The sequence below is a fragment of the Homo sapiens genome, chromosome 10, assembly GCF_000001405.40.
Source record: "Homo sapiens chromosome 10, GRCh38.p14 Primary Assembly".
Classification (NCBI taxonomy): domain Eukaryota; kingdom Metazoa; phylum Chordata; class Mammalia; order Primates; family Hominidae; genus Homo; species Homo sapiens.
This window is the reverse complement of record NC_000010.11, coordinates 108,053,947-108,069,958: the sequence shown is the minus strand read 5'-3', so window position 1 is coordinate 108,069,958 and position 16,012 is coordinate 108,053,947. Positions and strand designations below refer to the sequence as shown.

The 16,012-nt window shown below is 37.0% G+C and overlaps 1 long non-coding RNA gene across 1 annotated transcript in view; it reads left to right on the top strand.

Moving 5' to 3' along the window:
- Positions 1 to 665: 665 nt before the first annotated feature.
- Positions 666 to 16,012, top strand: part of LINC01435 (long intergenic non-protein coding RNA 1435) — a 197,718-nt gene continuing 182,371 nt past the window's right edge. The window contains exon 1 of the long non-coding RNA NR_125760.1: positions 666 to 777. This is a non-coding gene — a long non-coding RNA (long intergenic non-protein coding RNA 1435). The remainder of the gene's footprint in view (positions 778 to 16,012) is intronic.

The following is a 16,012-nucleotide window of genomic DNA, read 5'->3' as shown; positions in this document are numbered from 1 at the left end:
GATGACAAAACTCAACTTTCAAAACAATCTGTGTGTTGAGATTAAACAAAGAAGCCCTTTAAGTGGCAGTCTTTTCACTATACATGTTTGTTTATAGGTCATTCACTAGAAAAATACATGAAGGAGATGGAAAGGATTTGGAACTAAAGTAAAATGGTACTGTGTACTGATATCTAGCCAAAAGAATGATGTCATATTGCTGAAATGTCTAATAAACTTTGGAAGAAGCAAATGCATTTTATTATTAAAAATTAGCATCAGGACACTCATAAGTGGAAAATGAAAATATGCAAACAAATAAATGTTCTTGATGCCAAAAGTATAATAAGACTATATTTTGTAATAAAACTTAAAAAAGTCCAAGATAACATTTATCCTCATGCATAGCTTGACTTAGTAGTCAAATGATATCATCCATGAAATTTATCTCCAGTCATCTTCTCCCATTATGTGTGCTGGCCTCATTCTCAGATAGGTTCTCCTACTCTATGCAGGATTAAATCCAGGAAAAAAGAAGAGAAATAGCAATTAAAAAAAATCTTTCTCTTTTCTGATCAATCTCTCCTCTGATTGGTTCAAACTGGCCCCACTGTGATTTCATAACTACCCTCACCACAATGTTTATAGTCAAGGGAATGAAATGTGTTTCTTGGCTTGGGCTTAAGTCTTATGCCCATGTCTGGAACTGGAGTGGGATCGGCCACATTGAAAGAACACAGCCTGAGGGCAGGGAAGCTATTGAGCCCCAGAGAGAAGTTAAAGTACTTTTCATGAAAGGTAGGAGAAATCTATATAGGGTGATTTAAGAAAACTATATTTCCAGTGTACTAATTGTGTACATGAATATCCTGTGTAGTTGTGATGCTTAGACTAATATTTTGGATAAAGTCTGGCAGTACCTTTCACTGCCAATAGCAATGAGGCCTTACTATAAGAAGTAGGCAGAGCACAGCAACCAGAAGACTCTCCCATGTAAGCTTTGCTTCCACTTGCCACTAGGAATGCAAGCAACTTCAGCAGATAAACCTGCATGAGTGCCCACACACCATACTCAAATACCACCTCAGAACTAACTACAGCTCCAGAACAGTGTTAATGAGCAATACTAATCTAGTCAGGGGATGGAAAGAGAAAGAATAAAAATGTTATTTCTTCGATTTTACAAACCAGAAAAAAAAGCACATGTTCATCATATGTAGATCTTCCAAGCTATCCAGGATTTACCAAAAAATCAAACAAACAAACAAAAAACAAAACCCATTAAATCCAATACAAAATCCTGAGAAAAATATAATTCTCTATTTTAGATTTAAATAAAATGAATGTGGTTTCCAGTTTCCACTTCAACAATATTTTACAGTGCTAAGTTCTGTAGGTTGATCCTCATACACATACAAATTTCTTTAGAGGTGATTCTTTGGTTTTCAGAGTGGAGAGGTAGCCCCTTGGGATCCAGGTAGAAGGACAAGCAGAGACGGGTGTGTCTCTGCCTTTATTCTGTTCCCCATTTTCCATTTTTTCCTGCTGTTTGTGGAGGTTTTGGTTGCCATCTCAGGGCCTTCATTCTGTCTTGCCTCAGCTTCCCATCACTTTAAGCCCAAAGTGGAACTGGTCTACTTTGGAGGAGGAGACTTTGAGAGTCAAATATCTCAGCCAGGTTCACACTGGGTACACCATAAACTAGATCTAGAGATTTCCATCAATACAAGATACTACAATGCAACACAAAAAGTATTCCTGCCATTACTACTTTTGGAAACAGTGTACACATTTGCAGTTTCTTTATCTTTGTTCATTCTTATCTTTTTCCATCATCCCTAAACAACATACTATTAGCATCTCCTCCCATTTATCCATATTGTCCCTCCCTATATGGAAAATTCTGTCTTTTTCTGTCCTTTCTTTAAAATCCTGACTATAGTATAGTTTGAAGTCAGGTAGTGTGATGCCTCCAGCTTTGTTCTTTTGGCTTAGGATTGACTTGGCAATGCGAGCTCTTTTTTGGTTCCATATGAACTTTAAAGTAGTTTCTTCCAATTCTGTGAAGAAAGTCATTGGTAGCTTGATGGGGATGGCATTGAATCTGTAAATTACCTTGAGCAGTATGGTCATTTTCACGATATTGATTCTTCCTACCCATGAGCATGGAATGTTCTTCCATTTGTTTGTATCCTCTTTTATTTCCTTGAGCAGTGGTTTGTAGTTCTCCTTGAAGAGGTCCTTCACATCCCTTGTAAGTTGGATTCCTAGGTATTTTATTCTCTTTGAAGCAATTGTGAATGGGATTTCACTCATGATTTGGCTCTCTGTTTGTCTGTTGTTGGTATATAAGAATGCTTGTGATTTTTGTACATTGATTTTGTATCCTGAGACTTTGCTGAAGTTGCTTATCAGCTTAAGGAGATTTTGGGCTGAGACAATGGGGTTTTCTAGATATACAATCATGTCTTCTAGGCTACACTAACCAAAACAGCATGGTACTGGTACCAAAACAGAGATATAGATCAATAAAACAGAACAGAGCCCTCAGAAATAACGCCGCATATCTACGACTATCTGATCTTTGACAAACCTGAGAAAAACAAGCAATGGGGAAAGTATTCCCTATTTAATAAATGGTGCTGGGAAAACTGGCTAGCCATATGTAGAAAGCTGAAACTGGATCCCTTCCTTACACCTTATACAAAAATCAATTCAAGATGGATTAAAGACTCAAACGTTAGACCTAAGACCATAAAATCCCTAGAAGAAAACCTAGGCATTACCATTCAGGACATAGGCATGGGCAAGGACTTCATGTCTAAAACACCAAAAGCAATGGCAACAAAAGCCAAAATTGACAAATGGGATCTAATTAAACTCAAGAGCTTCTGCACAGCAAAAGAAACTACCATCAGAGTGAACAGGCAACCTACAGAATGGGAGAAAATTTTCGCAACCTACTCATCTGACAAAGGGCTGGTATCTAGAATCTACAATGAACTCAAACAAATTTACAAGAAAAAAACAAACAACCCCATCAAAAAGTGGGCGAAGGACATGAACAGACACTTCTCAAAAGAAGACATTTATGCAGCCAAAAAACACATGAAAAAATGCTCATCATCACTGGCCATCAGAGAAATGCAAATCAAAACCACAATGAGATACCATCTTACACCAGTTAGAATGGCAATCATTAAAAAGTCAGGAAACAACAGGTGCTGGAGAGGATGTGGAGAAATAGGAACACTTTTACACTGTTGGGGGGACTGTAAACTAGTTCAACCATTGTGGAAGTCAGTGTGGGGATTCCTCAGGGATCTAGAACTAGAAATACCATTTGACCCAGCCATCCCATTACTGGGTATATACCCAAATGACTATAAATCATGCTGCTATAAAAACACATGCACATGTATGTTTATTGTGGCATTATTCACAATAGCAAAGACTTGGAACCAACCCAAATGTCCAACAATGATAGACTGGATTAAGAAAATGTGGCACATATACACCATGGAATACTATGCAGCCATAAAAAATGATGAGTTCATGTCCTTTGCAGGGACATGGATGAAATTGGAAATCATCATTCTCAGTGAACTATCGCAAGAACCAAAAACCAAACACCGCATATTCTCACTCATGGGTGGGAATTGAACAATGAGATCACATGGACACAGGAAGGGGAATATCACACTCTGGGGACTGTTGTGGGGTGGGGGGAGGGGGGAGGGATAGCATTGGGAGATATACCTAATGCTAGACGAGGAGTTAGTGGGTGCAGCGCACCAGCATGGCATATGTATCCATATGTAACTAACCTGCACAATGTGCACATGTACCCTAAAACTTAAAGTATAATAAAAAAAAATGAATAAATAAATAAAATAAAATCCTGACTATACTTAATGGCCTATCTTAAATCATGTCACCTCCTTTACCCCTTTTCTGGTTTTATTGTATGCAAGGAATTGAAGAGCACTGTATACTCCTAGAGGGTTGGTCCTATAACTTCAAAGGTTCTATGATTCCTCCTACATTGTAAGATGTGTTGCTGAAGTAATTCCAATAGTTTCCATACATTTCAAACAATTCTCAAACTGTCATACTACTCTAAATATTCATTGATTGAGCAAATTGCTCAGGAAATCTCATAGTTGTCTGTGCATCAGTGACATTAGAAATGCATGTGTTACAAAGGCAGATTCCTGCGTCTTCCCTCCAGAGATTGCAAAGTTTGTTACAGTATGAGCTTGAAAGGTTTCTTTTATTCTCTCTCTTTCTCTATTTCATTTTCTTGTTTATTTTACTTTTTTGCGTGTTATTTTTGTGGTTTTTATAATTGACAACAAGTAATTCTGGGGCAGGTAAGCCAAGCACCAAACTTTGAGGAATGTTGTCATGCAAGCTTCAGATACTTTCATTTATGAGGTTCCAGAGGCTTAGGGAATACTGTCTCAAAAAGCATGTCTGCTCCCTCAGTCTGAGTTTTCTTATGTGCTATTTGCTCATACAATCAGCAAAGGTATTGTAAGATTCACAGCAAATGCCTGAAAGTGGAGAAAGAAGGAAGAAAATTGAGAATTTGAAGCCTGGTTGCATCTAGACATTGAATTGAGTGGTCTGGACTTGGGGTTCAGATAAATTTTACAAGTCATTAGTTCAACAGAGGTAAAATCACCCACTTAGGTGTCCAATGAATTGTGAAAAACTCTTGGAAGCATTTGTAAAGGAGAGCAGCTGCACTTCCATAGCCATTGATTGACCTAGTGAAGCATAAAATTTGATTATTCTCATTTTTTTAAGTCTTTAACAGTCATGGCTAATTAGACATAAAACCATCTACAGTAGTCCTACTCAGGATCAAACTGAATATATGACTCAGTGAGCCACTGCCCACACAGAGCAATCTTCAGTTTCCCCATATAAAAATCTTTGAGGGTGGCTTTTGTTAGCACAGAATGTCAAAAATGTTCAGTCACTCATAAAGTGCTTGGTTATGAGACCTTTCAGACTCTTCCCACCTCATGAATCTTTTACATTACACAGCAGCAGAGACTAGGGACTAGGGTGACACATAAGAGATAGTGAGTGTAAAAAAGTGACATGATGGGAAAAATCTCTGCCTGGAAGTCAGGAGACCTTGGTGCCAGTTCCCAGCCTGCAAGAAATCTCAATCTATGAACACTGGGCACTTTGCTAAAAGTTTCACTCAGTTTCTTTATTTTTTTCCCCAAAAATGCCATCATATTCATCTTGCAAATTAAGAAACCATGTCTCAGTAAGTTCAGGAGACTTTCCCAGTGCTACATAGTTACTCAGTGATAAAGTGAAAGTTGAAGCCAGGCTGTTTAACTCCAAAGCCTCCTCTGAATCCTCATGCTTGTCTGACATCACTTGAACCATATGATAAACGTAGGTAACTTAATATGTGGGTGTGCAATCATGTATATGTCTATCTAAATGTTTTTGTGTATATATATTCCAGTTCTGTATTGCCTTACTTGTATTATAGTAGATATTGAATTTTTTGTAAGTGTATGATGCCAAGGTTGGCTTGCAAAGATAAATGTCAGACAGGTGTATGGGAGTCAGACAGGGTGTATGGGCAGAGTTATCTGACATCAAAACAATAGGTACCACCGAGCTATTGACAGGAACCCAAAGCAATAGCATTTTAAGTGTTACATGGAACACAGGGCTAAGATCCACAGTATCTCTCAATTGTTTCTACATAGTTCTATGTGAAGCCTTCTGATTTTAAAATATTGTCTCAAAAAGAATATGCTCATCACCAGAAAGTCTATAAGCTGCTGGCTTGATATAGCTGCATTACAAAAACGCAGTGTTATTGTTACTTGCACTAGAAGGCAGGGAATAGCATTATTTATATAAACTTCCAAAACATCACATCACCTTTGCAGGATCTTAGTTGCCTTATGCATGAAGTGGGTCTGACAGCAGGTTGCTCTAATGTTTTTACCTGTTCCCCAAAGCCAAAATTTTAGATTTATGGCAGTGTCTAGACAAGAATATCTTTGTCCCCTGTGATCAAGAGAAAGAGTAATTAGAAAAAGCAATGCAAAAATTCAAAAGTGGGCCATACAAAAAGAAAAGGAATGACTTTTCGCCATCATTTTTTCCATGAATCATGGGTATTTTAGCAGTGGAAGTACATTTGACAAGCACTAGGTAAACAAGAGATTGTTATGTCAGGGGGGTGGCTCTAAGAGGGAAGGAGTTTACCATGATGGAGTCATTCAGACTACGGAAGTGGTTATCTCTATCTCTGCTCTTTTATTTCTTTGTACAGAATTGGTTATTGTCTAGTTTGCCTTAATTTTGGCCTTTAAAGATTCCTTTTAGTAATTATTGTAAGACAAGTCTACTAGTTATGGCGTGTCAGTTTTTCTTTATGTGGGAGTATCTTAAATTCACTTTCATTTTTGATGGAGTTTCACGGGAGATAAGAGTTCTTCACTGAGACTATTTTTCTTTTATCACTACAAATGTGTCATCCAATTGCCTCCATTTGTGTCTCTCCTCTCCTCCTGGGATTTCCTGGTACAGATTGGGATGCTGGCTGATTCCCTGCAGGATGCTGAGACTCTTTAAATTTGGCTTCATTATATTTTTCTTTTTGTCCCTGGGACTGGATAGTCTTAACTGAGTTATATTTTAGTTCCCTGAGTATTAATTTCCTACCTGCTCAAATCTGCTTTAGTCCCCTCTACTGACGTTTTTATTTCCTTGCTGAATTTTTTTTTTTTTTTTTGAATTGGAGTTTCACTCTTCTTGGCTCTTCTTGCCCCTGCAATGGTGCGGCCTCTGCTCACTGCAATAACTTCTGCCTCCTGGGTTCAAGCGATTCTCCTGCCTCAGCCTCCCAAAGTAGCTGGGATTACAGGCGCCCACCACCACACCCAGCTAATTTTTGTATTTTTATTAGAGACAGGGTTTCACCATGTTAGCCAGGCTGGTCTGAAATTCCTGACCTCGGGTGATCCACCCGCCTTGGCCTTCCAAAGTGCTGGGATTACAGGCGTGAGCCACACGCCCTGCCTCATTGCTGAATTTCAACTTCAGTATTGCTCTTTGGTACATTTTTAAAACTTCTATCTATGTAATGATGGTCTCTATTTGGCAAGACATCATTCTCATACTTTCCTGTAGTTCCTTAGATGTGGTATCCTTTAGTTCTTTGAACTTATTTAAAATAACTGATTTGTCTAGTAAGTCCAATGTCTATGCCTCTTCAGAAACAAAGTCTATTGACTGCTTTTGGTTTTCTGTATGTGAGCCATACTTTCTACTTTCTACATGTCTCATAATCTTCTGTGGAAAACAGGACACTATATTAATACATAATGCAATATGACAATTCTGGAAATCAGATTTCCCCTCGCAGGATTTGTTGTTGTTGTTATTTTTTTTTGTTATAGTTGTTCATTTAATTACTTTTGTAATCCAAATATGAAAAATCTGTATTCTTTGTTGGGTATGGCTACTGAAGTCTCTGTTAAGTTACCTTAGTTGTCAGCTAATCACCTGAGGAGGATTTCCTTAAACATCTGAAACCAGTAAGTCTCTGAAATGAAATAAGGCCTGTGGTATTATACATTTCAATTTCATAGAGGTTGAGGTATCAAGCAGCTCAACTCTGCTCACTTATTCTGTTTAATAATTTTTCCAGGACAGGAAAACAAATGTGAGAACCTTTTATTTTCATGTCAAGAACACAACATTTTTCTCAATGCAAAGCTCTTGATATGTAAATATCAGCCTGGCCTTGGGAATTTTTCTTCATTATCAATAAGTCAACATATAACTACTATTGTTTCAGGCTCTTTTACCAAACAGAGGAGCTTGGCAATGCCATCAGACAGGGTCAGTGATGCATTTATTACATTACAGCATTATATAGACTGAAGAGAAAAATTATATAACATCATATATGATATGATGGCATAGTAGATACATTTCATTAAGATAGATATGAAGTATCAAACCATTACCTCCAGAGGGAAAATACTTCTGGAAAGAAGATTTGAACAATTATGTTACACAATTCTGCTTACTTAGATATTTTGAGTCAATCAACTACAGGAATTTTAAAAACAAAGTGAATCAGATGATATCAAGATAGTGTGTGTAACTTCTTTCTTTACCATGGTCTTGGCCTATGTTGGTATCTTCTTTATGTTATAAATTATATATAGACTCTCTAGAGATAATAGCTTAGAATACTGACCAAAAATAGAATCTTTATGAGAAAAAGAAGAACTAAGGGAGGAGGATCAATAAGGAGATTATTAAGATGGAGTAGAAAAAAATGAAAAGGGATGCATGGGTGTGAAGCTTACTTCGATATCAGTGTTTGTGTCTAGCATCATTATAGGCATGTAGTAAATTCCAAAATCTTTTCTGATCTGAACTGAATTTGGTAATTAATTTGATGAATAGAAGTTAACCTAGTAGGAGACCCATGAAAAGATACAGGTTTGGGGTAGGTGGAAACTGTTATGTTTAGTTTAAAGTTGCTGGCTTTGCCAAGAGTAGGTATCACTGTAAATTGAAGGGGGAAAGAAAAAAATGTAAAAGAAGGCCAAAAAACTATGAATTATGAGCTGTATTTATATCAAATGATAAGCTCTGTATTCAAAGAACATGCAAAAAGATTAAAATATCTTTTTATATGCTATGATTTTTTTTTTTAGAAAAGGCACTGAATGATTCAGGTGTTCAAAGTGTTCATTTTCTTCTAAATCCATCCAGATGTCTCTATTCCAAGGTCATGGTTCCTATTTCTTTCCAATGTCCTAACAACCACATGAGGGGTTTTGTGACTGTAAATCACATTATCATGTAGTCATGCAACCCACACAATAAAATTTGGATTTCTTTTTTAGAGAGTTGCAAGAAATAAGATTTTAGTTTCAGGCCACCATTGAAGTTTTCTGTTACTTAGCCACTGAGTTGATCTCAGAGATTAGAGACTAAGTTCATAATTTCTTTCTGAAAGCTCCAGAGAGCAGTGAGTATTGGCCATCTTACTCACAGGCTTTATAGACTTTATTATTTCTGTAAGATAAAGTACAGTTGCCACTTAGTGCCCAAAGCTATTGCTCTAGTAAGATCTTTGTCACAATCAACCACAAGTGACATTAATTGTAAGGAAACTGAGTGCCATGGATTGCCATTTTCCCATTTTCTTTTAGTGAAGAACTCACTGCTATATTCAGTGCCAAGTAAACCATCAAACCATTCCCATAAACCATGCTCACATGGTTCTGCTGCCTCAGAGGCGGCTAGTTCCAGGAATATCAAAAGAAACTACATCCTTTAACACTGCTGCTTCTCAAGTAAGTAACTTGCTGACAGAAACAGTGAACAGAATGGAAAGGAGCCCTTCCTTTTCTCTTCCTCCTGTCTTTGTCTTCCTTTTGTGCATTTTTCTATGGGACTTAAGAGGAAGCCATCTAATGACAGAGAAGAGTTGTTTGCACAGTCTCATGAAGCAGAGTATGGAAAGATAAATTTGAAAGGAAAAGGAATTGCATAAGTATTGACATAGCTTCATGGGCAGCAATGAGTCATTCTTTAAAGTAAGCTTATGTGTTTCAAGTTTTGAGCATATTTGTGTATAGAATTCGGATTGAATCTCTAAATGGAAACTCAAGCATGAAATATATGGGTATATATATATATGATGTTTATATTTATATCAACATGGGTGAGGAGATAATAGAAGGGGGAAAATAATGTAAACATAGTGCAGGCAAAAGTCAGAAATTTTTAGTTTTCCATAAACCTATCAAGAAAAATTCAGTGTGTATTTATGTGTATGTCTTTGTGTGTGTGTGTTTGAATTCTTACCAAAAGAGATTGTTTGAGCTTAAACATGGAATTAAACTTAAATACACATTTACTTAAACCAATTCTATCCCTGTTTTGGGAAAAATTATTTTATTGAGGTAAGTATAATGCACTACAATATAAGAAATCATTACACAAAACAAATTAGAGGTAAAAAAAACTGTGGGTAAATTGGAGTTTACTTAAATTTATAACAAAACATCTTTCTTTTATCAAAGTGTTTATCATTTACAGTATGTTGGAACCGAAATACAGTAAGCCTTCCAATTTGACTGTCTATGTATAAAAGAATAAACCATTTTGGACCTCTCACTTGAATGTTCTATTGCATTTCTTGTGTTGGGTCATCAAAAATATCCTGCTGGACATAATATAATTTTGTATAAGCAGTAATTCCCTTCTTCCTCTACAAGATGTAAATGGAATCAGACATGTTATTGCCAAACTTAAGGATTCTACATAACTCATGCATTCTAGAGTATATGCAAAATATAAAGCTGAATCTTTCAGGAAGGTGTTTAAGACAGATAAATGAGAAGGAAGAGGAAGGAGAAACTAGATTTTAAAGCAAAATAGTATGTTGACAGGAACACATTCTGGTTTTTACTGTTTGTTTCTACAAAGAATTTCACAAATTTTTGACAATAAATTTGAGGAAAAGGAGGAAGAGCCTTTGGAGTTGCCTGGTTTCAAGAGCATGGTTTCAGAAAGCGAGCCTTGGTGTGCTGAGAAATTCTCTTAGAAAATTTCAGAGCTCAATGTATTTTTTGAGGTTTGGTATCTCAAGTGCATTCCAAGATTGATAAGCAAGTTCAGGGTATTCCAAAAAGAAATAAGAAAGATAACTTACTTTATCATAGAGAATGAGTTTTTAGACTGAATATAATTTAAAAGAGGATACTTGTAACACTGGAAATAGTGAATTTTTTTAAAGATATTACATTCAAGCCAGTGGGAGGTGGTATGAATTCCTAGATGAAAAAATGGAAAATAGTATCACTTTTACATTTGAACTGTTTGGAATGACAGAATTTTAAAAAAAAGCAGAGTCAGTAAAGGCAAACCTTTTACATTGTTTTCATCTTTTTGATGAAGACATCTTAAATCTGTCTAAAATATTGGCTTCTTTGCCATAAAAGCCTTCGTTATTAATTGATATGTTTTTTTTTCATTCATACAGGATTGGTTACTTGCACTACAGCAAATTTACAACCAGCAAAATAGACTAGAAACAAGCTACTTGTTGATGAAGGTGAGGTTTGGCTAGTTCCTAGTTCTTTGGATTCACATTCCTTATGGGATGTCTAAGGTACCTTCTTCATGTTACTTAGAGCTTCAGTGGCAGGATTCTGTATCCAACTGCATTTTTTAGGCTGATTAAGTGAAAGAGCTCCACTGAGTCAAGGAAGGCAATCCACTAGAAACTTCCCCATTTATGTCCACCCGTTCTCATCCCTAAAATTGTTGTGACTAAGTTAACATATCTGTGTGTCATTTTACCTAACAATAATAATCTCCTATGATGGAATTACAGGAAGATAACTATGGCCACTCTATACGTTGATTTCCTATTGAGATAAAAAATCCTCATGAAAAATGAAATGGAAATGAAAAGTCCTTGGTATTTGTAAATACATATGCAATTTGCAAATACATGCATGTAGTTTGTGAGTATTATTATGCATGTAAATATTTACATATTAACTATTCATATAGTTAGGGTATTTGATTCAGATAGAGGAAGGATGTCATTTTTTGTTTTACAAAATGTTGGACTAAGAGCTAATTGTTTTCTGGAATCTGAAGTTCTTGTCACTTAGAACAAATGATAGCCATGCACAACATTGGAGGAGACAGCTTCAGGTTGAGGAGAGGCTCTTTGGTGTCCATTTTATTTATTTGATGTGCCTTTTTGTCCTTTCACTAGGTGACATGATTTCCCCCTGCCTTTATTGAGCATCCCACTTTGAAAAAACAAACAAAAAAGCCATGATGACTCTTCATAAAAATAAACAAAACATTCTCCTCTGTCTCTCCACTCTAGCTGTATTATCACCTTTACTCCCCATATCCCCAAATAAAGTTCTTGGTCAAAAAGGCTACATTGATCACCCAGAAATTTCTTTGCTCAAGAGTCAGAAAAATCACCTTGCATTGGAGCTCTTGAGAAGCTTCCCTTGCCCTTGGCCCAGAAGTATAATTCTCAAATCTTATCGGCAGAAAAGATGGCAAGTAGAGTTGCCTTGGCAAATATTTTGCAGTCGAAGTTTTTAACCAAAGAAGCCTATCAGACAATTAACTTGGAATCCATCCCAATTATAAAGCCATTACAGAAAGTAATTAGAAAAATCTAAGGTCTAGGCTTCAACCACAAATATCTGCATAACCCATCCAGCAAGGTGTAGAGCATTTGAACTGGACTGAGTCTTAAATACTGCTGCATCCTGGCAGTAGTCTTAGGCTCTATGCATTCCCTGACCCAGAAAGCTGGTCATTATTTTCCTAAAATAACAAAATTGCCTTCCTTCTGGACTGACTCTGACATGACCCTAGCCTGTAATTTCATCTTTCCTTACTAAAGACTCAGAGTTCAGGGTAGAGCTGCTGCTCAGCAATGACCTCCTGTCTGTGGGAGGATTCAACTTGTCTTCGGAGTTCTCACCCATTCCTATTATCTACCTTCTTAGAGAGACTTCTAAAACGGTCCCAGTAAGTCCTACCTAACCTCCTGCTATTTATGGCTATTTGTAATGTCTTCTCCTTAAGCAATTTGGCTATAACCAAAAAATATGACAGCATTAAGGGATGCACTTCTCTGATTATATTACAAAATATTGTGACATTTGTCTTGCTGCTCTCTTTATTGCCTTCTTGGCTGGTTTGTCTTGATTAAGCCAGTTGACATTTGAAGAGGACCATATAGCAAGGAACAGAAAAATAGCCTGGAACCAATATCCAGTTAGTAACTGAGGCTTTTGGTCCTAAAAACTTTGAGGTCCTGACTCAGCAAACAACCACACAACCTTAGAAGTGGATCCTTCTTCAGTCATAGATCAGATGAGACCTTTAGTCAGTGCCACCTGGATTCAGTTTTGTGAGGGACTCTGAAACAGGGGACCCAGTTAAGTTATGCATAAATTTCTGACCCACAGAAACTGTGAAGTAATATGTTTGCATGTGTGTGTGTGTGTGTGTGTGCATGCATGTTATTGTAGTAAAATACACAAAACATAAAATTTACTACTTTAACCATTTTTAAGTATGGACTTCTGTGATGATAAGTACATTTACATCATTGTGCAATAATATGGTTTGTCTGTGTCTCCACCCAAATCTCATCTTGAATTGTAGCTCTCATAGTTTCCACATGTTGTGGGAGGGATCCAGTGGGAGATAATTGAATCACAGGGGCGGTTTCCCCCATACTGTTCTCGTGAGAATAAGTCTCATGAGATCTGATGGTTTTGTAAGGGGAAAGCCCTTTTGCTTGGCTCTCATTCTTTCTTGTCTGCCACCATGTAAGACATGCCTTTCACCTTCTGCCATGACTGTGAGGCCTCCCCAGCCACATGAAACTGTGAGTCCATTAAACTTCTTTTTCTTTATAAAGTACCCAATCTCAGGTATGTCTTCATCAGCAGTGTGTAAACGGACTAAAACATGCAACTATCACCAACCATCCATCTTCATAACGTTGTCATCTTCCCTAACTGTTGTTCTTTATCATTAAATACTAACTCACCATTACACTTTCTCCCCAGCCTCTGGCAACCACTATTCTACTCTCTGTCTCTATGATGTTGACTACTCCAGGTTACCTCATCTAAGTTGAATGATACAGTGTTTGCTCCTTTGTGACTGGCTTACTTTGTTTAGCATGATGTCTTCAAATTTCATCTAGTTTGCAGCATGTGTCAGACTTTCCTTCCTTTTTAAGACTGAATAATATTTCTTTGTCCATTCATCCATCAATAGACACTTGGATTGCTTTCACCTTTTGACCATTGTGAATAATGTGGCTATGATTGTGGTCATACAAATGTCTGTGTTCTTGCTTTCAGTTGTTTTAAATTTACAACCATATGTGGTAATTTTGTGTCTAATTTTTTTTGAGTAATCATCACACTGGTTTATAGTCACTAGGTTTTGTGGTAAATTGCTGCACAGTAATAGATAACTGAAAGAAATAGCTTCTAGGATGCATAAAAGTGAAACAAACAACAAACAAACAAAAACACATCCTTGTACTAATGGAGCTTATAGCCTAGTAGGTGAGATAGAAATAATCAAATGCTGATGGCATTGGATGAATATTCACAACTTTTGTGCATATGGAAAGAGAGAAGTGTATGACATAATAGGATTTGTAAAAGTGGCTGTTATCCAGGCTAGGAAGTCGGGCTTACTATCAATCCACCCAAGCAGGAGGAGTAACTTTGGACAAGCCAGCTGACTAACAGCTTGTAGCACAGATTGAACAGAAGAAAGTTTCTTGCTTTGAGATCTTATCCTTTCTTTGAAGAAGATGCATACCATGAAAGAAGAGAAGAAAGCACATTATCAATGCTTCATATGCAACCATATCCAATGCCAACAGCCTGACCTTCCCTCTTCTTGTGTGCAGTTGTTATAGTGACAACATTGATTGCATATTCATGGGAAAGATTTCACTGGACTGGGTATTATTGTTTTGTTTTGTTTATTTTGTTTGTTTTATTTTGTTTTCATTTTTATTTTATTGTATTTATTTATTTATTTTTGATACAGTCTCGCTGTGTTGCCTGAGCTGGAGTGCAGTGGCGCGATCTCGACTCACTGCAACCTCCGCCTCCCAGGTTCAAGCGATTTTCCTGCATTATCCTCCTGAGTAGCCAGGATTACAGGCATGCACCACCATGCCTGGCTAATTTTTGTATTTCTAGTAGAGAGAGGATTTCAAGTGACCTGGCCTCAAGTGACCTGCCCACTTCAGCCTCCCAAAGCACTGGGATTACAGGCATGAGTCACGGCACTCGGCTATTTTGTTTTTAAATAGACAGTATTTTCTGCTTTGTTAATTTACAGATTTATTTTGTTAATTAACAGATGTGAATCTTAGTATCCCTCAAAGCAAATAATAAGAAAAACTCAGTGTTACTTGAGTTAAATGTAGAAACTGAACAGACAATGGTAGGCCCTCCTCCTATTAAGACTACTTGAAGTTTGGTTTTGTTTTATTTTAATTTTAGGCCCTTCATTTCTCTCAAATGGACCTGTAGCCTATTTTGGGTTGAAATCCTCAATGTGTGGCAGCTAAGCTACAAAATATAAAGAACGAAAATATTTTCGCTGTGTCTTGAAGTTTCCTTTGAAAATATTTAGAATTCTAGATATATGTACAATAATTCAGAAATAATTTTACTGAAAAGTTTTATTTTTATATCTTCCCCACCAGAAATACATAATAAAAAGACAAACTAAATGCATTAACAAAATGAATTTTGGGCTAGGCGCGATGGCTCAGGCCTGTAGTCCCCAGCACTTTGGGAGGCTGAAGCAGGAGGATCATTTGAGGTTAGGAGTTTGAGACCAGCCTGGCCAACAACGGGAAACCCCATCTCTACTAAAAATACAAAAACTAGCCGGGCATGGTGGCACTTGTCTGTAAGCCCAGCTACTCGGGAGGCTGAGGCAGGAGAATTGCTTGAACATGGGAGGCGAGTTGAACTCCAGCCTGAGCGACAGAGTGAGACTCCATCTCAAAAAAAAAAAAGAAAAGAAAATAATGAATTTTGAATTTCACTTGCCCAGTTAATTGGGATTCCCCACTCTGGTGTTTTTTCCTGCCATAGCACAACCTCTCTTCTCACAGCTGGGCCTGGGATGTTACTAATGCCATGATTTAAATAGTTCTGATTTTTTTTTTTTTCCTTTCTGCCTGCTGTCAGGCTGTGATAACTCCAGTGATAATTGGCTACACGATTTGAAACTGCATTTTCTATATCCTATTTTTAGAGTGACAACATGAGAAGTGACAAATGAAGCAATTGATTTCAGGAAAAAAAGAAGACACATAGATAGCAAAAAGGCATAGATCAAATAGCAAAAAGGCACCGAGTATTAAAATGAAATTAATACTCACCATTTTAAATGAAGCGCCCACATAAATAAG